Below are 24603 nucleotides of genomic sequence, written 5' to 3' on the forward strand. Positions count from 1 at the left end.
CTGTTTGGTTGGCCAGTTCGTCCCAATTTCCGACTCACAGGGCTGCGGAGCAGCAACTCTCACGATATTTGCTGCGACCCGCAGGCGCTATCCGCTGCCGGGTTCTGGCGCGCCCTTTCAGTTCTGCTTGCTGTCGGCACCGCTGCGTTACCCGGAACCGCCGGGCCGAACAGCATGACGTCCGCTTTGGAGAACTACATCAACCGTATCCTCAAGCTGGCCGCCGCGGGCGTGAGCCGGGGTCGCGGAGAGGCCGCGGTCGGGGATCGGTGGGAGGTTGGGAGGCCTGGCCTCGGCGGGATCCTGGGGGCGGGCGAGGAGATGAGGGCCCCGGAACGACCCAGAGTTCGCCGGCGGCGCCTCGAGCCTTCCCGCTGCTGCGGGCCCAGGGGTCCTTTCCATTTTGCCTGCAAAACCCAAATAAAAACCCAGTGTGATTATTCCGAACTTTTCTGTCTTAAAAAAAATGTACGCTCTTGATTCTTACTTACTATTTCCCTATGGCATAAGTGTTAAAGTTTGTGAATAAGATGAACAGTCGTCCTGGCGGCGACAACAGTTTTGCAAATCTTTGTACTTGTTTTATTCACATAATTTGCTCGTTCGAGGATAGCAAAAAGTTTAACGATGGTTCACAGACTGTTTCTGTCCCTTTACCACTTGAAGTCCCAACTTGTTGGTAGAATGAAAAAAAATGGTTGCTGTTGTAATGGATTATAGTGAGGAGCAAGTAACAACCCCATGGGAAGTCTTAAAATAGACTTTACAAGTGTTACCGTTTTAAAGTCTTAGGACAAAAACACTACGTTAAGCTCAGGTACAAACTGGGTGACAAAAATTAAATACCGAATGCTTTTAATGATGCGTTATTGGTACCCTGTGACACTGCTTATATAGTTTCTTTACTTTTGAATTACAGAAGCCTGTCCTGGAAGACAGTTTTTTAACATGCTGGAAAATCGTCCAACATCGATTAATTTAGTACTCATCCACTTTTCATTTTAGAAATAAACAGGCCTAAGAAACGAAATATCCTGCCTGAAATAATAGATTGGTAACCTTCCTAGTAGAAAAGTGTCAAAAATCCAGGATATTTTGAGATAAGATACACCGATCACATACAGAAAGAGGTTTTCTTTTTCTATTTTTTCCCTTTTTTAATCATGTAATTATCACAAAGACAAAAACAGAAGCTTTTTTTAAGTTTTTTTTTTTTTTTCTTTTTTTGAGTCGAGGGTCTCACTCTGTTGCCCAGGCTGGAGTGCAGTGGCTTGATCATGGCTCAATGCAACCTTGAACTCCTGAGCCCAAGCAATCCTCCTGCCTCTGCCTCTGCCTCCTGAGTAGCTGGGACTATAGGTCACCAGGCCAGGGTAATAGAGATGGGGGTATCGCTGTGTTGCCCAAGCTGGTCTCACCTCAAGTGATCCTCCTGCCTTGGCGTCTAAGAAACTTTTAACGTTTTTATGTAGTGAACTTAGTGGCTGTGTTGAATACTTATACCTAGTTGTCATATTTATTCTAAAAATTCAAATCATTCCCTTGCCAGAGTCTGTTTTCAATTTGCATTCCCTAAGAAACACTTTCTTTGATTCAGTTATCAGGAACTGTTGCCGTTATTACATCAGATGGGAGAATGATTGTGGTAAGTCTTTGGAATTTTCATTCTCTGCTTTCCTGTAGGTTTATTGGTTGCAAGTTTTATGTGAAACCTCTAATCTCTAATGCCTAGACAGCACATTACACCCGTAGTGCAATTTTATTATAATTCAGCTCTTTATCACTTTGCTGTCAATCCATGTTTTCCTCACTAATAAACATTGTGTGTTACCTACAAGGTTTCTCGGAGCTAGAATAATAGATTCTGCCCTCAGAGAGCTCCTAGTCTGTAGACCTTTATTAAACTTACTTTTCTTCTTCCATTTTTATTTCCTTCCCCATTCAGCACCACATGAATCAGAATTTTTTTGAAATTTTGCATATGCTTAGTAACTTTTTAATGATTTAGATACTATTAATATCTAGATAACATTTAAGGCTTGTATACAATCTTAATATTCTTTGTTTTTAGGTTGTGTGACATGTCTTCTGTAGGACACATTATGATGATTGACTCTCTATATATACACATATATATGTAAAATTGGCTTGTTCCTTGAAGTTGTTTCTCCCTTGCTAATTTATGTCATATAACTAAGATAAAACGTTCCTATAGTGATACTTGTATTTGGAATTTGATCTGAGGAATTCATCTCAAGATTTTTGGGTACTTGGTTATTTCTTCACTTACAATTCATACTTTGAATGCTTTCAAAAGAATTTTAAGGCTACTGAACTTTCTCTATTTTCTAACCTTACCTAGTTTCTTTAAATAATTTGATCCCTTATTTTTCCATTCTTCAGTTTTGCTTTTGTTCATTTTCTTTTTAAGCCTTGTGATTTTTTTTCACTGGGTCCTTAGTGACTATTATTAGTCAAAGTTCTAGCTTTGTCCTTTACTAAATTTATATCATGTGCCAGGTGCATATATGTTACATTATTTAATGTACAGTAAAAACTTATGAAGAATAAGTACCCCTGTATTCTAGATTAGGAAACAAGTTCAGAGAAGGTGACTCACTTTCTCAGAGTCACAAGGGTAGCAAGTGACAGAACCAAACTGGGATTTAAATTTGGTTTGACATCAAAGCCAAGGCCAGTTGCCTGGCTTCTTTCTTAAGGAAGCAATGATGTTTGCTTAGGCACCTCACATTGTATTTTTTCAAATATGGACAGTTTGACATATTTTAATTTCAACACTTCAGGAAGCCTATTGCTGTTAATAGATATTTGCATTTTTTTTTAATTTGGTGAAAACCTTAAGTTTAAATTTTCTTATTTTTGTTGACAGGGTAGATAATAAACTGAGAAATTATTTTTAATTTTAAAGAAGAATGAAAGTGATATAAAAAGCATCTTAAGTTCTAAAGTTCAGTAGTTCTGTATTTCTTTGACACATAATTTATTTGATGGGATAATGTGTAAAATGAAGTCAAGAAGTTATGAATGGATGTTTATGATAACAACCATTTGCTAACTAGTTCAATAAATACTCCATATTTTGTTTCTCTTCCAAGTTACAGATTTCATTCTCATTTTATTTCATTCTCTTTTTTATTTCATTCTCATTTTATATATTTTGACTTTCAGAAGATAAAACAGTTTAAGAACTTGAGAGGTTTAACCATCAAAACCAATGTTAGTTGATATTTCTTCAGAAACTTGAATACCATGTGAGTTACTCTGTTATGCTAGACCCATGTCTTCTTTTATTCAATACTAAGCTTTCATAAAACTCTCCCTGATTATTTCCTTCAAGTTCTGGTTTTAATTAGTATAGTCACATTTGTATCTACCTTACTGGGAGAATTAAACAATAAATCCATATGATACACATTAAACAATACATGTGAGACACACAGAACACTGGTAACTAGTATGTACTCATTAGGTGTTACATGTAACTACTAGTTAAATTTTTAGTATATTTATGGGACTGATTTGAATCTGAAAAATGGCAAATTATATTTACTTGTGTATAATAGTATAGAATGTTATGGTTTAGTGGTCTGGCTCAGGAGCTAGCCTTTTGTGGTTCATCTCCTGGCTCTGCCACTTACTACCCATGTGATCATAAGACACACCATTCTGTGCCTCAGTTTCTTCTTTGAAATGGGGCTAATTATAGTACTAAATCAAAGGGTAGAGATGAGTTGAGAAAATGTGTACAGTGTGTTTAGCACACTGCCTAGTGCTGGCATATAGCATATAGTGATACTATTACATTGCTGTAGTTGGTATGTATGGTTCTTCCTTATTTATGTATATTTGGCTATCATTTTCCCTTAAATATCCTTTGTCTTAGTTTATACCTTTAGCTGCTGGTCTACATAAGCTTTTATGCTACTTACTTGGAGATAGTCACATTAGTACATAGGTGTCCTTTGCAACTGCTGTCAACTCTACATATGAGTGAGATGTGTGGTGCAGGTCCCCCCACCCCAGCCAAATAACCAAGAGGTAAATTGTGTACCCTCGAATACTGTTGGTTATAAAAAAGGCATTTTATTTGCCGTCGTATAGGTACTTGTATTGGAATACCTGGCAACTAAAATGACTGTGAGGTTAAATTTACACTTTCAGGTAAACCAGAATATTTCTCTTTTTCTCCTGAATATTTTCTTTACAGGGAACACTGAAAGGTTTTGACCAGACCATTAATTTGATTTTGGATGAAAGCCATGAACGAGTATTCAGCTCTTCACAGGGGGTAGAACAAGTGGTACTAGGATTATACATTGTAAGAGGTGACAACGTGTAAGTAAAATATATCTGTTAAAATTATAAATGATACTGCCTTACTTTATGGAGAAGAGGCTTTCCCCAAAATACCCTACTGTATTGTCCATACATAGTTAATAGAATCTTGCATTCATTTCTTTCGTAAATATACCTTTTCTTATGTTTGTGTAAAATAAGGCATATGTATACATTTTATGTCAGCACTTCTTTAGGTTTCAACCAAAGCTGTCTCTCTACAAATTAAACTTTTACCTGAGATTTGCCCATTTTTCTACTAGTTAAGTAGCCTGGGTAGAGTCCAGAAAGGGCTCTGCCTTATATTAAATACTTCATTAGAGAGACTTCTTAAAACGTTCTTTCAAATACCCAGAATTTTAGAGGAACATATTTCTAGAGTCCAAGGCCAAAGTTTGAAAAATGTTTTGAAATCTCTGATTTGAACAATATTAATTCATGCTCAATAACATAGGTGTATTTATAAATAAGTACTTACTCGTTATTCATTTTCTTTTAATTTTTTAGTATCATTGACACACTTAAGATGTCCCTGTGGCCTCAGTTTACTTGGGACAGACAGATATAAAAGTTCAAGAGTAATTGGCCAGGCATGGTGCCTGTAATCCCAGCACTTTGGGAGTCTGAGGCAAGTGGATCAGGTCAGGAGTTCAAGACCGGCCTCGCCAACATGGCAAAACACTGTCTCTACTAAAAATACAAAAATTAGCCAGGCTTGGTGGCGTGCGCCTGTAGTTCCAGCTACTTGGGAGGCTGAGGTGGGAGAATCACTTGAACCCAGGAGGTAGAGGTTGCAGTGAGCCGAGATCACCCTACTGCACTCCAGCCTGGGTGACAGATTGAGACACCAATTCAAAAAAAAAAAGGCCGGGCACAGTGGTTCAAGCATGTAATCCCAGCACTTTGGGAGGTGGAGGCGGGTGGATCACTTGAGGTCAGGAGTTCGAGACCAACTTGGCCAATGTGGTGAAACCGCGTCTTTACTAAAAATATAAAAATTAGCCAGGCGTGGTGGCGCAAGCCTGTAATCCCAGCTACTCGGGAGGCTGAGTCAGGAGAATTCGCCTGGGAGGTGGAAGTTGCAGTGAGCCGAGATCGCAGCACTGCATTCCAGCCTGGGCAACAAGAGCAAAACTCCGTGTCAAAAAATAAAAAAGAAAAGTGGCTAATGTGGTTCACGTGCCGTGGCTCATGCCTATAATCTCAGCACTTTGAGAGGCCAAGGTGGGTGGATCACCTGAGCCCAGGAGTTCAAGACCAGCCTGGCCAGCATAGTGAAACCCCGTCTCTCCTTAAAATAGAAAAATTAGCCTGGTGTGGTGGTGCATGCCTGTAATCCCAGCTACTTGGGAGGCTGAGGCAGAAGAATTTCTTGAACCTGGTAGATGGAGGTTGCAGTGAGCCAAGGTTGCGCCTTTGCACTCCAGCCTGGGCAAAAAGAGTGAAACTCCATCTTGAAAAAAAAAAGAAAAGTGGCTGATGTGACAGAGGAACTGAATTTTAAATTTTATTTAATTGTAATTAATTTTAATAGTTACATGTGGCCAGTATTAGTATAGTTATAGAGGCTAGAAGAATGCCAAATCAGTTTTCTAGTGAGTACTACACTGAATCAAAATATAGTTGGAAAGAAGCAAAAGATACATTAGCAATTTTAAGCTAGAACATTTAACAAATTCTAGGGGACTAACTGTCCCCTGGAATAACTTAAAAAGTGCAGGAATAATTTACTCATTTAAGTTGTTTATGTTAGCATCACCTTTAGATGAATAAATAATTTGATCTGTAATCAAAAATCAAGAGTTTATAAAATATTTTAGAGATGACTTTTAGGTGGAGTTACAAGGTGAGCTGTAAGTAATGAGAGAGAGACAGAGCAGATAGGGCCCAGGTCTCTGGATCAGAACAACACTGTTTATATTGGAGCTGTGCATAGTAATTGATTTTAAGGTTTCTCCTACTTAAAACAATTTTTTTTTCTTGAACTTCAGTGAAAAAAGTCTTGTGCTAGAGCCAGCTTCTACTGGCCCATGAAAGCATATTGTTATATTTTAAGGAATTTTACAAGCTGGTTAATTGATGTCTTGTTAGTAGCTTGAAATTGGCCGTGGTGGGAGTGTTTGCACAATGGATATTAGTAAATGCAGCAAATCAGTCTCCCGCTTTTTTTCCAGAGAGCTGGTTTTTAAAAATGTATCAGCATTTCCCTGCTTACCATAGGGATTTTAAATGATACTGAATATTATCATTTAAAATTTAAGAATATTTAAGAGTGGAATTGAGGCCTTTAGTTTGAGAAAACTTAATTCATTCTGCCAGAGTTTCATATTTTTCATTTATTAGATGATTTAAGACTTTATATACTTTAAAGCAAAATTTGGCAAATCCCTTATTACTAGTATTCGTCTTTAGAATTTGGCCGGGCACAGTGGCTCACACCTGTAGTCCCAGCACTTTGGGAGGCTGAGGCTGGCGAATTACCAGAGGTCAGAGGTTCGAGACCTGCCTAGCCAACGTGGTGAAACCCTGTCTCTACTAAAAATACAAAAATTAGCCGGGTGTGGTGGCATGCGCCTGTAATCCCAGCTACTCGGGAGGCTGAAGCATGAGAATCGCTTGAACCTGGTAAGTAGAGGTTGGAGTGAGTCAAGATCGTGCCACTGCACTCCAGCCTGTGCAACAAGAGCGAAACTCTATCTCAAAAAAAAAAAAAAAGAATTTACTCTCATTAAAACCAAACAAATGTAAACCCAACCAATACTTTTTAAAAATAATATTTCATAGACATCTTGTGGTCTGAGTGATAACATTGAATATTTCCAGTTAGAGGGCTATGGGTTGGTTATCTAGCGTGGTATTAATGAATTTAAAGTTATAGATACTATGTTAGTGTTGAACAAGAAAAAATTTTCTAGCTTTTAACCTGAGCCAATCACGTCAAAAATGATTTGTTAGATACCAAAGTACTTGTTCCTACTATTATTTTTGTATATGAAGAACTGGCTTTGGATTTAACTGAAAACTTAGGAAAACAATCTAATCGCTGTTGTCTATATCATTGATTTAATTCATCAAAGTTACTCAAATGATTGATATTTTTACTTGCTAATTATTTTAGGAGTGATTTTGTGAAATTTATTTTTAATACAGTCCTAGAATTGAATTGAAATATGGTTTGGAAGTTTGAGGGTTTTTTACTGTGTCTATCCTTGTGTGTCTGTTTCCTTTAAAGATTCATGATACAATCACTGTGTACAATGTGTCCTTTAATATTGGTTCCTGTAATAATGTGCCTTCAAATTATTTCTTGAGTTTTGTGACTTAAATATGCAGTTCACTGACTCACGCCAATGTTGTTTGCTTTTTACCTTAATTCTTTTTACTGTGCTCTCTCAGTTTTATTTTTTGGAAGAATGGTACTCAGTGCTTTGATTTGATTAGTAAGATTTTTGAAACACATGTAATTTATTTCAGAAATGTGATTGTTTTAACTCTGACTTTTTTAGTGCAGTCATTGGAGAAATCGATGAAGAAACAGATTCTGCGCTTGATTTGGGGAATATTCGAGCAGAACCTTTAAATTCTGTAGCACACTGAGGAAAAACTACATACTTGGACATCTGTAAATCTTTGTACAGAAACTGATTATTCTGAGGATGATATATGGAGTTTTTATGAGTGTGTCACTGGATTTTGACTCCTTATTGATTCATTGTAATATGTAAATTAAAATATTTCTACATTTTATTGAAAAAAAAACCTTTTTTTTTGCCTAAATATAAGTTTGGTAGCTTGGTTTCTTTTTTTTATTAAATAGTGTGAAAATATAATGGGCATTTTGAAAACTTTTAGAAAAAAGTAGTACTTTTTGATACTTTAGTATTTATGGAAACTAGTGGAAAAGAGAAATTAGTGTGCTATATAAATCAGGCATTCAAGTAACAGTAATACAGGATATATGTGTTTTCTTTCCCTGATGTTTAGGAAAATCACAGGAGGGTAAATCTTTGCTGGAGTTATCTGAATCATTGGCATTTATCCGATTCCACTGGTGGTAGTTTGCTAGTGCTTCTAAAAGTTGCTCCCTAGCACTGAGAGGTGTGGGTAGGTAAAAATGTGTTTGCTTGAGAAAAGCAAAAATGCTAACAAGGTTTTGATAGATTGGCCCAAAATTCTAACTTGAATATTAAGAATGACTAGGAATGGTAGAATTGACAGAGATGATTAGTAAAGTCTCTTGATGCCCAATTGGTTAGGTATGAAAGTAATATGAACACATTAATGTTGAATTTTACAGACAGTATATTTGAAAAAAATTGATTCCATGTAGTCTTCAATTTTTAATTTTTAAGAATTGGAGAATTTCTAATGTTAAAGTTAGTTTATAAATGTGAGTAAATAAACTCTAAGTTTGTATTGAAGTAGTGCTAGCTATTATTGTCAGCAATTTTCCATGATTCATTATCCATAAACCTGATTTCAGAAGACGTCAACTCAGTTTTTTAAATAATTGAAAGAAACAATGTAAGTAGTGTTTAGATATTCAGGCTAGTCCATAAAATTTCTGATCAACTCATGTATAGGCCCAAGTGTGTGTCTTTGTGATGAGAAGAACATAGAAAAATATTTACATCCTTGTAATTGAAACAAATTTAAATAGTTTATTTGTTTTGTTTTTATGAAAGTGCTTAAAAATAGTAGTTGGCAAGCTTTTTCTATGAAGATCCAGATAGTCTTTTAGGCTTTGAAGGCCATGTGGTCTGTCACAGCTACTCACCTCTGCTATTGTGGCCTACAAATAACCATAGATAATACATAAATGAATAGTGGCTGTCTTCCAGTAAAACTTCATTTATAAAAATGGAGGTGGGGGTTGGATTGGGCTTGAAGGCATAGTTGCTGACCCTTGGCTTAATACAAGTTCAATAAGAAAAAATGAACAATTTGTATAAATTCTGGAATAGATCCTTATAGAGAGTTTAGAGGTGGGTTTCATTCATATTTTAAAATATTTTAAACTTCATACTTATTAAACATAATAGCTTTTTGGGGGAGGAAAATATCTTCACTCAAATCAGCCTTATAAGGGGAGAAGCACTATTCTCTAGAATTATTTGGTTGATGTTAAGGGCTGTCTCTGGGAGAATTAGAGAAGTTAGCTAGTATTGGCTATTCATAAGTACTTGACTTGTAGTATAATGTTTTATAATCAATTTATTAATAAAATGATGGAAAGTGGGTAAGGCAAACAGGCAAATTTAGGGACTGTGAATGAAATATTGTAGTATATGGCATTTTGAATTGGTAAAGTAATTCCAAAAATTAAATAAGAATACACATTGTTCAGTTGCTAAGAAAAATGCATTCTAACAGTACAAATGAAGTCCAGAGTCAGATCTTTTCTCAAAATACTTGGCATATCAACACATTACACATAAACAAATAAAAACCAGTCCTGTCCCTCATGATAATGGGTTTCTAATGTGATGTATTCTTGCAATCTGAAACACCTTATAAAGCTGTATTTTCCTGATTGATGTTGGAAAAAGCATTCCCAAAATGTGAATTATTGTTTTTATGAATAGTTACAGAGGATGTGATGACAATATGCCAGATAATCTATGTAATTCTTTATTCCTGGATACAAGCACATGGTGGACTGTTTTCTCACAACCGATTAAAATTGGATTTATTTTTGCATGAGAATTGTAAGGGAGCCACAACCATGAGTAGTAACATAATTAATATACAGTGTCAATATTTTATATTTAATGAGACATTTATTCTATAATCAGTTCTTATTTATAAAGAGGCGCAAATCAATTTCAACCTGTAATTACCTCTGTGCTTTGTGACTCAGGCACAATCTAAACCCAGCTTAATGAATCAAAGAGATGTTTCTTGGCAAGATATTTTCATTAAAGTTATTTGGAAAGGGCAATTAACTGCAAAAGGGACTTTTTTTTTTTTAACTGACAAGATACTATCTAAACTAATAGTTTAAAATAACATTGCTTTTATGTCAAAGCACTTTGGTAACTTGGCCTCACATGCTGACAGTTTTGGCTAAATATTACAAATCTTGATCCCAGAAGAGCAAGAGAGAAAGTTTTACTAATATTTGCTTAAACATCCTGTTTAACAACTTTATAACATCCTTCGGAATTTTTAAGGTAATAATGTGAGATATAAGTATGATAAAAACAACTTTTAAATGGTATTTAATGCAAATACAGAATAACGATGTCAACATTTTCCTCAGCCGTGTAACCTGAGATTCATCATGGGAATGAGAAAGTAAAGGCCCTTTGTAATGGCATGTGAACCAGACAATTTAGTAGCCAGGGTTGTAAGGCAACTCTTAACTGACAATATAGTTAGTATATTCTGGGCCTTCATCTTCAAAATTAGTAGGTAGTATTTATTGAGTGCATATCATGTGCCAGGCCTGGTGCTGAGTGCTTACAATGATCATTTTATATATGGGAAAATTGAGGCTCAGCAGGGTCAAGTGACTTGTAAGAGGTAGCACTAGTAAGTAACAGTGCTCAAATTCAACTAGGTCTTTCAGCTTTTTATACAATACTGCCTGTTATCAGAAAGTATAGTCTTAAAATCTGCTATCAAGCATCTATCAGAAGCCTGATGAGAAATATTCAGATGATCTAACGCAGTTCCCAAACCTGCATTGTGGGCCGTTTTCATTACAATTACCTAAGGTGCTTTAAAAATTTTCTTGGGCCCTACTCGTTGTGGTTCAGCAGCTGTGTAATGGAGCAAAAAGGAATAGTCACTAAACAGCGAAGGAAAGTGGTGGAATTATTAAAAGACCTAGCACTTACCTGCTGGGATGAGTCTCTAACCCCACAGAATTGATTTCAAACACAGGATCTTATTCAAGATAAGGATAATAACAGCTATCTTCTTGGGTTGTAAAAAGTAGCATTAGACTGCATTTTAAACATTTGGTATGATTTTGAGGACATAACCGTAAACAGCTATTTAATACTATTCCAGGTAGTCAAAGGCCAATGTATAAAAGTTAAAAATATAGGTCTTGTCAGCTTTTTAAGCGTCTGTCCCACTGACTACCATATCTCTACAAGAGAATAGATGAGGAATTGAGGTTATGTGGGAAGTACGTGTAAGTTTACAGTATTAAGAAATGTACAATAAAATTTGTTTCTATGTCAGCGAATATTCTTGACTCAAGGAGTTTGAAAGTGTAAACTCAAAGGTCTTTCACATGTAAAGAGGAACCTCTCCATTCTGTACTTGTATAGTCATTACCTCATATAGATTTAATTTTATTAAATTAAATTTTACTTATTTTGGGTTTAAAAAAACTTGGGCTGTGAATCTCAGTTTTAAGTCATGGGCAAATTTGATAAAAATTCCTTTCTGTCTACATGTAATACTGAAAAAAATGTTGATAAGGTAAAGCTATCTCCATTTAGATTGATACCCATTAAATAGCATAGTGCTCCCATTAAACTAGCGACAAATTCATTTAATTGTGAGATATCTAGTACTTATGCTCCATCCTGTTTATAGGGATTATTGATGTGAGATTTGGTCAGATGCTTTGATGTGATCTTCATTCCTCTGTATAGTGGGAAACCATGAGACGTGCTTAGTCTTCATAAATCGATGCTGCCTCCTAGTGGCCATTGCTTTCTTTTCTACCTGTCCACAAACTTCAAAAAAATAGATTTTGGAATTTTGTCAGGGACACTTATCAAGCCATTAATACATGCCAGGCAGTATGCTCAAAGCTGTGGATAGGCCAGGGAACAGTATTCTTGTGCTTGTGAAGCTTCTATCTGTCTGTATCTACCTCAACCAAATCATCTTGACTCAGATTTACTGTCGAAGGTCGTGTTATTTCATCAGATTCTTTCAGTATTCTGGGATATAATTTATGGGTTCTGGATTCATTCAAAACAACTAGAAACAGTCTTTTTAAAATAAATATAATTCAAGTCAATTATTTTCCCCATCTATTTTTTTTCTTTTAAGATTGCTAAGTCTGTAGGTTGCATAATTCTAAGGATAAAGGCGAAATAGGACTTCACCAGGAGAATTTCTTTCATTAGTTAACAGTATGCCATCTCCTACTTACTGGCATCATCTGGGGAATGAAGGAGCTGAGAATTGTTCTTCCAGATACCTTTCCGACCTCTTCTTGGTTTTGGCATTAAGTTTTTTTTTAACTCAATTTTTGTGTTAGTTTTTTGTTATGCCTTTTCATTTCCTTCTTTTTTTAATGTTTCTTTTTTTTTAAGTCCTTTAATTTTTATTTATTTATTTATTTATTTATTTATTTATTTATTTATTTATTTTTGAGACACTTCTTGCTCTTTCGCCAGGCTGGAGTGCAGTGGTGCAATCTTGGCTCACTACAACCTCCGCATCCTGGGTTCAAGCGATTCCCCTGCCTTAGCCTCCCGAGTAGCTGGGACTACAGGCACGCGCCACCACACCTGGCTAATTTTTTTGTTTTAGTAGAGACGGGGTTTCACCATGTTGGCCAGGATGGTCTTGATCTCCTGACCTCGTGATCTGCCCACTTCGGCGTCCCAAAGTGCTGGAATTACAGGCATGAACCACCACGCCCAGCCTAAGTCCTTTTATTTTACAGAGTATTACTTGTTAGAAATGGCACAGATCAAGCATTGCTACAACTGGTATCAAATTCCCATCAATGTCCCTACAAGGATATGATACGCTTTCTCTCTTCTCTTTAGGGTAATGTTCAATTACACTGCATATATTTTGCTATTATGTAGGTTTTTTTTTTTTTTCCACATATACTGGCTTTACAAATGCCATATAATTAGTATGGTACCAAATTGTTATTACATTTGAAATACGTTAAAAAGAATCCAGGAGTCAGGGTGGGTGGGGAGACAACTCCAGGGACACAATACATTGTGTCTTGTATTAAAAACTAGTGTGTGTTGGGGTGGGGAACAGGCAGGAAACTAATATGTTTCTGTTTGATATATGAAAATATGCACAAGCTATCATGTTTCATCTCATATCAACAAAATGATTATAATAAATCATACTCTAGAAAACTCATTAACTGATACAAGTTGCCAGAAAATGCTGCACTATGGCTTATTTCACATTTTAAAATAAATGCCCTGAAAGTGATCACAATGATAGTTAAAAGTTAAATTTTTTATTTTAAAATTTAAATTTTTATTTTAAAAAATAGCTCTCTGAATCTGACTTGGATAAGCTTTATTTTAATTGTGATTCTGCTAATTACAGAGACACTTCAATTCACACTCATAGGAGGTATGATTTTTAAAAGGAAATTGTTGATTAGGGTCTTGGGCTAGTCCAGTGTAGCATGGCAGTGAAAGGCACAGACTCTGGAGTCATACTTAGTTTGCAGAGCTTAGCATATTAATCTTACCATGTCTTAGTTGCTATGAAAATGAGTACCTGCTTCCTTGTACTGTCAAGATTAAGATAAGCAGTTAGCACTCCCTAGAACATACTAATTTGTCAATATTAATGATAGCTAACAATTATCCTGATATTGAATGATGGACTCCAAATTATTTATTGTGGCCTAGGAAAAGTACTAAGAAGTAATTGATAGCATTCCCTGATAATTTTGGTGAAAAGAAAAACTATGAAAATTCTGGACAGGACTGGAAATTTATTGTAAATGAAAGTATGCTTCCCTGGTGCAAAGGTAATGTGATGTTTTTAATCACATATTTTAAAATTAAAAATTTGATCAAATTTTTAAAAGTAACACGAGGCAGAGAAAGTACAGAAAGGAGCAACCAGAGTCAAAGTGATTAAGTTATAAAAAGGTTAGATTTCTTTGGTGTGAAAAGATAAATGAGAAATGAGAATATGCCAGAGATCTGAAATGAAGAATGGATAAGAGCTTGCATATTTAATTTTGTATATTAAAACCAAATATTCTATGAAGATTGGAAGGATAATTTTAGGTCAAATGAAATTCTACATTAAAGAAAGAAGAATAAACCTTAACAACTCATTAGTAATCCTTCATTTCCTGAGTATTTACTGCATGACAGTAACAGAGATGACATGCCCGGTAAACTGGTGTTTGAAGGCAATATATAAAAGCTTCCCATGCATGGCAAAGATGCATTTTCCTCTATGCATAGCAATATGGGAGAGATTGGAGGAGAATCTTCATGGAAATGGATGACTTGTGCTTGACCCTAAGGATAGTAAGGATTTCCATAGATGGTTAGGAAAACTTCAAATTGGCAGACAGGAAGGCAAGAAGGAGTAAGATGTGGTTGAGTAATAAGGAGTAGACTGACCTCTCTGTACAGTAAAGGCTCAAATCCTTTTTATTGCAAAGAAAGGACCTGTCCTTCACCAGTTCCTGGAAGAAAATCTCTTGAGTCCTTGGGATGTCTTACCTGTTAAGAGTGCTTTTGTATGCCTGAGACCATAGGCCTTGCTGTTACAGTTTAAGCTCTGGGAAACGAGATTCAGGAGCTAAGGTCAGTTATGAGGGAACTGAATATTTATGTGACTGAACCCTCATAAAAACCCTGAACACCAAGGCTCAAGAGAGCTTATTAGCAATACTTTGCATGTGTTGGTAAACACCGTTGCTGAACTAGGTGCTGTCTGTGCAGCTCCACTGGGAGAGGACATCTTGAAGTTTGTGCCTGGTTTCTCCTGATTTTCACCCTGCACACCTTTTCCATTTACTGATTTTAATCTATATCCTCTCACTATAATCTGCAACTGGGAGCATAGCAGCTTTTCTGAGTCCTATGATTCCAAGTGTATCAATGAACCTCAGTATGATCTTGGGGACCCCCAACTCACTATCTAAATAAAATTTTCATTGAAAATTAGTGAGAAGGGAAGAGATGGCCTTCAATACTAGTGCAAAGTTAATACTTTATTCTTAGAGCAGCAAGTTGATTTTAGGGGATTAAAAATCTAAGACGTTTAAGGGAACATGAATTTGGATGCATTGAACAGAATTGGTAACCTGAAGGAGAAACTGGAGGCAAATTGTTTCAAGTTAGGAAGCTATTGCAGTAATTAAACTGAGCTGACACATTTTCATGTCAGATTTTCAGATATGATAAAGGCTGGAAGTACAGAGTTTCAAAAGATGTACATAAATTTATGGAAAGGAAATTTTGGAATGGTGATTCTAACCTTTAAGGTTGGTGCCATGGAAGGAAAACAAGTAACTTTGCAACAATCTGTTCAACAATGAGAGTTACCAAATGCCAGACACTGCTAAGTGCTGGGAACTTAGATGTAACCAAAGACTTAAAAGATACTAGTCTTTAAGACAGGCTTTGAGAAATTCAAGTGTAGGGTAAGGCCACCTCCCCAGCAAGTAAATACTGACATGGTGAAGATATGTATTGGGTGATATGAGAGCCCATAGGAGAGACATCTAAAGTTTAATAGCAACACTAGGCTGGACTGAGTGGTGAATACGTTGATATAGCAATTTAATAAATGTGTTATTGTCAATGTAGGCATTTTGCTCATAGCTTAGGGCAAGTGATAAAAAACAGAGCTTAACAAAGGACTGGATGTTTTAGTTTGACAGCAGTGTCTAAATTACAGATTAGAGAACTAATGACTAGCCATACCGAAGACATTTATCTGGAAATGCCTTCCCTAAGTGCCAACAGAGAATGAAAATATAGTCAATAGCTTTAAGTGACCCCATGCATCTTAATGCCTTTCAAGCAACATGTTTTTCTGACTTCCAAATATAAACAACCTAAGCATTGTGCAGTAGCCATGAGGGACTAGGTATCCAAGTGCACATTATATTGGCTTTGTAGAGCCATTGGAGGGAGTAATAGTTTCAGAGTCATGAAACAAATCATAAGTAGCTGCTCTGGTGCTCTCTAGAGGCAGAACTTGCTGAATTTGAAGACTATTAATGATGCAGCTCTCACTGGTACAAGTGAAAAACCTCTCAGCCCTACACAGCATCTTTAAGAAAGCTTTAATTTTGGTTTTTCAGAGCAATATTCACATGACATCTTTCGGATCTGGAATCTTAATTACCATTAGGTTGGAACTCTACCTGAACTAAAAATAAGTGGTCTCTATCACGTTGAAATTACTTTAATATTTTCATTTATGTTTATACTATTTATTTAAATGCGGAGAACATGGCTAACCATTCAGGACCATTTAATTATCAAATTATTAATGATTCTTCCATAATAAACAAGCAAACTGTCATACTTGTTGACTTATATTTCATTCCATGGAATTCAAATTTAATTAATTGATAAATCACATTGTACTTTATAAGAGTTTATTCCTTAAGTGTTTGAATTTACACTTTTTTCTCCTGTGACAGCATCTATTCCCAAGGCAATCAACATTTTAATGGAACGAACTGAGGTTTGCAATTGCTAATGTTATTCTCCCATCCCAGTTTCTACTTGTTTCTTGTAAAAAAGGAGGTTTCTAAATCTTGACTGTTGATTGACAATTAATGGGCTAAATTTCCCATTAGCAAACACTTTTCACATATACACTAATATTAGTATCTAAATTATATTAAAATCTAATTTGGTAGCAATTGACTTGAAATTTGTGATACTTCAACTTGTGCTAGGTTGTAGTTTTGCTTGTATCACTCATAGTTACTAAAAATGCAAAAGGCAAATTTGAAATAACTATAAAAATAAACCTTTAATGAACTTTTTAATATGCAATACTCAATTGTAAATAACCATTATCTTTACTGAATCAGATGTTTCATTAACTGTTAGCAGTTATTTCGAGTTATTTATATATCACAGAATTTTGAACTAAAGATCATCTAGCTGAATTTCCTTTATATTAAAGAAGAGGAGAAAATCTTAATACTAAGTATGTGTGAGCCTGGAGCTGCCATGGAGCATGTAGAGAGAGTCTCCTAGTTGATACCAACTCAGGAAAGCAGAATCAAGCAATAAAGAGACATTTTGGGCCTGATGACATCATTTCAGCACCTGGATCCAGCGATGCCTAAAGATGTGACTCCTAGACTTTTCACTTACATGAGCCAAAACGGTTCCTTTGCATCAATAAATCGCTCTGTGATGCATTTTATAATGTACAACCAAGAATCTCAATATTTATTATTTTGCATTAAATATCAGTAAGTTTGATATAAAAAGCTCAGTAAAATTCATTAATTTGAGAATGTGTCTATATCATAGTAAAGTTTTAAACCTACATAATTTTCAATATTTATACCTTTTACTGCAAAAATAAAAATGAGTTTATCCTTGCCCTAAAGCTGTAAAATTAAACTCTGTACAATTCTAGTTATTTGAAATATAAAATAAAATTATTGGTCATTTCATGTATACATTTGTGGTAACACTTTAACTTTTTCCCTGTAAGGCCATCTTTTGTATGTTTCTGTTTCCATCAAGCAGGCTTTTAATGCAACTTTATCTTCTGGGTTTCCCTAGTCATAATTAAGGGTTTGGCCCTAGTTCACAAGTAATCTTCCAGCACAAATTTTATAAACAAATGCCCTGTGAATCTGCATGGCATAAATCAAGTCTCTAGATCCTGATCACTTCTATGTGAATTTGTAATATTCTGCTTTTGGACTTGTAAGACCAAGAGCAGACTCCCTAAACACAGAGGAGGCAGTAATTTAGGACAGCTTAAACATTCTGGCTGACTGCCTCATCAATGCTATTTAATAACAGAATTCTGGGGATGTCTTGAAATAGATACATTGGCAGTTTTTTTGTTTTTGTTTTTGCTTGTGTCACACATAATGCTGATGAAGAAACCATGAAGTGTCATATGAAAGGAAGTTACGATTATTATTGGTGAGTACATCAGTTAGAATGGTATTTGGCTATAAGCACTGGAAACTCTGACTGCCAGTGGCTTTAACAGGCAGGAGGAGTTCATTTATCTCGAGAGAAAAGAACAGAAAAGTGAAAAGCAAGGCAGTTCAGACTGGGGCACCTACTCAAAGAAGTGACCCAGTACCCAGGCCACTATTTTCTCTTTGCCATCCTTTTGTTCTAATAATTTGCCTGTCATCTCGTGACTCATATTTTCCATCTAATTAGAATAAAGAAAGATGAAATAGGAAAGTGAGATTATCATATGGGAAAAATAAATGCTTTCCCAACTATAACCAGCAGACTATACTGGCAAAATATACTGCTTGAATGCCATTGGCCAGATCTTTGTCATATGGTTACCCTAACTACAAGGGAGGCTAGGAAGGTGAGGGATTTTTTTCCTTTTATAGTGACATTTTGCCACTCCAAATAAAAAAAGGGTTGCTGTTAGGAAAAAGAGAAGAATGGGGATGGGGTGAACAACCAACAATGCTGCCATTGTGCTAGTATAGAAGCAAGTATCTCAGAGGCAGGTGAAAACAACTTCTATGCCCAAACAGAATTCTTTTTTATCTCTGATATAAAATGCAGAATATGAATTTTAATAAATTCCCCAGGTGAGTCATATGCACATTAAAGTTTGAGAAGCACTGATCTATACTGTCTTTCTACACACTTTTTTACCTTACTTTATCCTTCAGGATTCTGGCGTCAAGTCCCTCCCTATCAGTCTTTAAAAACTGTAGCCTTAAATCAGTAGGGATATAGAAGACATGAACAATACTTTCATCCATCTTGACCTAACTGCCATTTATAGAACGTTCTATCCCAAGACATCAGAATATATATTCTTTTTAAACATTTAATGAAAGGATTTAACTCCCAAACTCCAAAGCAAGATGTTCTAAGAAGACTCATTTAAAAAATTAATCTCAAAAAACAGATTTTAAATTGTACAGGAGAAATGCTTATATGAGAACAGAATTATGGGGCACTCTGAATACTAATTTAAGAAAGAAATATAAACCCCTTTTAAAACTCACATAATTTTCCCATTTCCCTTGAAGAAGATACTAATATTTCTGATATCATATAGGAGTAAAAATTGCGGGGAGGTCCTAATATCCAATATTAATAGAGCTGTGATTATTCAAGCTGTAGACTTAAATTTTTTAAATAGAGTAATGGTTGTTTAGTAGAGATTAATATCTAAATAAGGAAAATGAAGAAAGGGACTAAAAATCAAGTAAATAGGATAATTGAGTTTCAATGGGCAAGAATTTTTATATCATGATTTTACCACTCTGAATATCAAAGTCAGTGATGTCTCCAAAAGGCAAAGGGAAGTGTACCAATTTTTGGAGCACTATAAAAAGTGAAAAGTCATCTGCCAGATCTAACATGGTATACTCTAATGGAAAAATCATCAAGATTCTCTTCCTTTTTATGATTCTATAGTAACAGTTTAGTTGAGAAAATAAATCATAATTTGTGATTTCAAACATTTAATATGTGCACATGTATATTATAATATACTCATCCTTTATATTTATCATGCTTTTTTGAATAAATTTGCCACCTTATTGCATATGAAGAATATCTCCATATTCTTACAGCTGTTTTTCTTGGTTGCTTTCTAATTCCTTTCCTCCCTTATTGGTTACCTATGAATTGCTCAGTTCTAACAATGATTTGTAAATTTTAATACTATAGATATATTGCTGTTAATTATTACACCTAAAAATAAATTATTTTACAGAGGCTACTAAGAATGTCCATGTTTTTTTCTGAGATTCTTGCCATATTTTAAGGGTGATATGTAATTATGGGGATAACGGATGGTATGTAAAAATAGCAAGGACACACTTTTTTAAAAAAGAAAAGTTTACATTTGAAGGAAGCCCTGGACTTTGATGATTTAAGAAGAATTTTAATTATTGTCCTCAAGCAAGATTCAATTTTCTGGTTTGATGGGGCTATATTTTTCATTTACTACAGTAAAAAATAAAGCATATGAAACTATAAACAAGACACCTGCATGTGTATGCTTATCATTGCACGATTCACAGTAGCAAAGTCATAGAACCAACCTAAGTGTCCATGAGTGGTTGATTTGATAAAGGAAATATTTCATATATACATATACATATACACACACATACACACATATGTAACATTTTTGTATATATACACAATAACATTTACTGTTTACACATTGTATATAGTGTATATATAGAGTGTATATATAATGTGTGTGTATATATATACACACATTCCATGATATATAATATATAAAATATTTAAATATATATAATATATAATATTATATATATATATAATGGAATACTATGAAGCCATAAAAAAGAATTAAATCATGTCCTTTGCAGCAACATGGATGGAGCTACAGCCCATTATCCTAAGTGAACTAACTTGGAAAGAGAAAATCAACTATCACATTTTCTCACTTATCAGTGGGAGCTAAACAATGTGTACACATGGACACAAAAATGGAAATAATAGACACCTGGGACTACAATGGGGGGAGTATAAGAGGAGGCTCAGGGTTGAAAAATTACCTATTGGGTAATGTTCACTCTATGAGTGATGGGTACACTAGAAACCCCATCTCCACCTTTACACAATATACCCATGTAATAAACATGCACATGTATCCCCTGAATCTAAAATTTAAAAAAAAGGATACAAAATTTAAATTTCAAATTATTACAGAACTCAACTGACAGATTTAAAATACTTTATTTTCCTATACAGCTGAACAGTAGTTATTCATTTGTTAAACTTAGTTTTGGTATGTTCTGGAAAAATATTAAGAATAATGAGTATCAAATTGGGCCAAATAACAATAATATTCATCTATGCTATGTGATCTAATTCAAAGAGTACAGGTTTGGGGTCAGACATATTTGAGATCAATTCCACATTCTGTATATTACTAACTCATTTTTATAAGGCTAGGGTGTGGATTAAATGAGATTAAATGTACATAATCTACAAAAGATTACATTCCTTCCCCCTATTTTATGACTATACATAGAATAGGGTATTCATTAGGTTACCATATAGAGTAGTATTGACAAATATTAGTTTTTGGAAATGAATCTAATTCATTATATATTGAAATGCCAGTTTCATGCCATCCAAATGATCTTTTGTGGAAAGAATTAGTTAAACGTAATTATTAGTAGCAGGTCATTTAGATAAGTGAAATTATAAACGGTACAGGTTGCTTTGGTTTGTTTAAAAAACTAAAGAAAAATGATTGTGTAAGTTCAGGTCCTTCCGAGAAAAAGAAAAAAAAAAAATAGCACACACACACACTGTGGGGGCAATGGGAGAGTGTCTGCACTTACACATAGCTACTAAGTAGAAAGCTGTAAATAAATACAGTGACAATGGAGATGAAAAAAAGGAGATGAACTGAAAGAGTTAGACATTGAATAAATGGATTCTGTAAGGTGGACATTTTGCTTGTAATAATTATCAAAGAAAAAGAAGAGAGAGAGAAAGAGGAGCAAGAGAAGTGAGTGAAAAAGAGGAAGGAAGGAGTGGTAGAGACAGAGGTGTGACAGGACAAACCAATTAGGTATGAGCTTAAGCCAAGGAAGTAAGAGAAAAAGATAAGAATAGTAAAGTCTATGAAAAGACATATCAGAAACTTTTTTCATAGACATTTATAATTAAATTTGTGTATATTATTTTACAATTATTTATAAACACTTACTGTAATAAATATTAATAGCTTAATTTTATAACTATAAATTGTCATGCAGTTTAATATGCTTATTACTACTACCTGACAGCTGTAGATTACTGGACAGAGGAAGAGAGAGAGGTGCAAAAATAGATAAATTAATAAAATCTGATACTTCTCTCTATATACGGTTTGAAATATATATTTAATGATACATGGGCATGGGTTAAAAAATGAGAAATTATGGTCTAAAATTCCCTGTATAAGCTTACAATTAGAAGATATCAGAGAACATACTGTGTTCTTCTTTTTTATTTATAGTTCTTTAACATAACTCAATTGAACTTACACATCATAAACATCAATAGGGACTATAAATGTATGCCATACATTTAGAAATTCAAAAATACTAATTGCTAGGCATATTATGCTGATTGCATTATTGTAACATTGCATTTTAATGCCTTTTATGTGCTAGACATTATTCTAGGTGCTCCAGGAAATCTACAAATATGACTCCTGATCTCAAACAGCTTATAATACTGCAGGAGATATAAAATGTGTATAAGGATAAAAATAAAACAAAAATTCCTGAGGTTGGGAAGCTCTAGATTGTGGTTATCAAGAGCTACTGCTTCTGGAATTATTTTAGGAGAGCATGCATTCTGGGATTTGGATGAAAAATTTTTACCACACTCTTAATGAATATATTTAGGAAGTATAGCGAAATCCCTTTGTAATATTGGTCTGGGGTAGATAATTTAAATTCGTCTTACAAGATAACCAATATTTCTAAGATTTTGTTCATTCGAAGTATAGAACCAGTAATGAAGATAGAGAAAAAGTTATCTCTCTTTAGATACACAGAGTTCTTTCTATATATATGTATAATTACTAATATATATTAGCTTTATATATATTACACATGTTTATATATAATATTACATATATTATATATAATTTTTAGGTTATATATTATTACATATTATATATATATATATATATATATATATATATATATATATATATATATATATATATATATATAAGCTTTGGAGCTGAGAGGTACCAGGGAGAATTCATGATTACTGCTGTAATTAATTAATTCAAGAAAATAACATTTTATTAGGCATAACTGATATAAAAGGCTACAATTAATTTGATTTAAATTCACAGTAAGACTTCTTACCCTCGACTTATTTTCCCAAGTAGAGAAACCAATTAGAAACACTCTCTAAATAGATGCTGAATCTAATTAGTATAACATAGTCCATATGCATAGCATATTTGCATTGTACATTGTGTTGCAAAATATGTATTGTAAAGTAATTTCTAGAAGAACAGACCTGCCAGAGTAGGTACTGCTTATGTCAATTTCATGAAGATAAAGAAGCCAATCAACTCATCTATGGTCCTGGGGCCATGGTTAACTGAGATCTGCCTTCAAACACTTGATGAGGAAAACAAGTATTATTACTTCAACTAGAAGAAACTCTAGGCCTAATGAGTCTTCTCAAAAATAAATTTCAACTGGAGTGAAAACACAACTAAATCTGACTTCTTCAAGTGGATCTTATTGGATCCCATATTTTGATAGTATTGCTGTAAAAACACTATGGGGAGAGGAAAGAGAATGCGTTTGGGAGCCTGGCAGGCTTGGAGTTAAATTATGGTTTAACCACTTTTTTTAACTGTAGGATCCTGGGCCAATTAATCTCTCTGAACCATAGTTTTGTGATTAGTAAAAACAAGAAAATGACAGCATGGCAACCTTGCAGAGTCATTATAATTATGCAGAGAAGATATGCTCAGCACATAATATGGTGTCTAACCCAGAGTAAAACACTGAATAAATATTAGTTCCATCTCTCCCAACTCTCTTATTTAAAAGATAATAAAAGAATCATAAAATTCTACCAGCGTAAAGACTATTCTTCAGAATTCTCATCCATTACTAAAAAGTATAAGGAATTCAATTAAACAATAAACAAATATATAATAACATTGAAAATATAATGTTCTGAGGCTTTGCTACAAAGTACCCCTTTGGAACATAATTGAACAATATCCAGAATGAATATTCATTATACTCTTGGTAGGCAATTAATGCATTAAAATATCTCACGTGGCACATCATCATATGCAAGGGAGAATGTGATTTATGAAAATTTGATACCTAAAAGTGAATTACAGTTATCATAATCCTAACTTGACCCTATCAAACTAACAGAAAATATCATCATGAACAGAATTGGTGTCACACTTGGAGAATGACAAATTTAAATAGCATGATGTTTCTGAGTTTATTCCAGTAGGGTCAGAGAGCATACTTATTTTGCTCTTTAATTCTTTAGTCCAATGAGGGAATATTGGTAGACACCATTGAGTATAGCACAAAGCATCCATTGTAAGGCCTAGAGGCACTGTATTTTGCAAGATAGCAGATGATAGAAAACAGGTAAGAGATAACGACCCTTGCAAAAATTTTCAAGCTGCCAGGGGAGATATGTGCAAGAGAGACCAATGTACTTACTTATTCTCCCTATTCTTCTTCTCAGGAAGATGCTAATAAATTCGTTTAGCCCTAGCCATTTTATCTATCCTTTGACTGAATCCTGCAAACGTGGCCATTTCTGTTCTCTTGGAAAGAATAAATGAAAAAGTTCCATG

The 24603-nt window shown here is 34.5% G+C and overlaps 1 protein-coding gene across 1 annotated transcript, besides 2 other annotated features; it reads left to right on the forward strand.

Moving 5' to 3' along the window:
- Positions 1–114: 114 nt before the first annotated feature.
- LSM8 (LSM8 homolog, U6 small nuclear RNA associated) lies at positions 115–19986 on the forward strand. Its single transcript, NM_016200.5, has 4 exons — positions 115–205; positions 1605–1645; positions 4229–4356; positions 7863–19986. Exons 1-4 carry the CDS (start codon positions 175–177, stop codon positions 7951–7953), a joined length of 291 nt encoding a protein of 96 aa, NP_057284.1. The 5' UTR covers positions 115–174; the 3' UTR covers positions 7954–19986.
- Positions 6809–7024: a silencer, noted in NCBI's record as "fragment chr7:117830912-117831127 (GRCh37/hg19 assembly coordinates)". NCBI's record gives its function as "represses an EF-1alpha promoter that drives an FKBP-Casp9 reporter gene in an ReSE screen in K562 erythroleukemia cells {active_cell/tissue: K562}" and the evidence as "EXISTENCE:reporter gene assay evidence [ECO:0000049][PMID:32094911]".
- Positions 11979–12038: an enhancer, noted in NCBI's record as "active region_26548". NCBI's record gives its function as "activates an Ori minimal core promoter by ATAC-STARR-seq in GM12878 lymphoblastoid cells {active_cell/tissue: GM12878}" and the evidence as "EXISTENCE:reporter gene assay evidence [ECO:0000049][PMID:35858748]".
- Positions 19987–24603: the final 4617 nt, after the last annotated feature.

Source organism: Homo sapiens, chromosome 7 (assembly GCF_000001405.40).
Source record: "Homo sapiens chromosome 7, GRCh38.p14 Primary Assembly".
NCBI classification, from domain to species: Eukaryota; Metazoa; Chordata; class Mammalia; order Primates; family Hominidae; genus Homo; species Homo sapiens.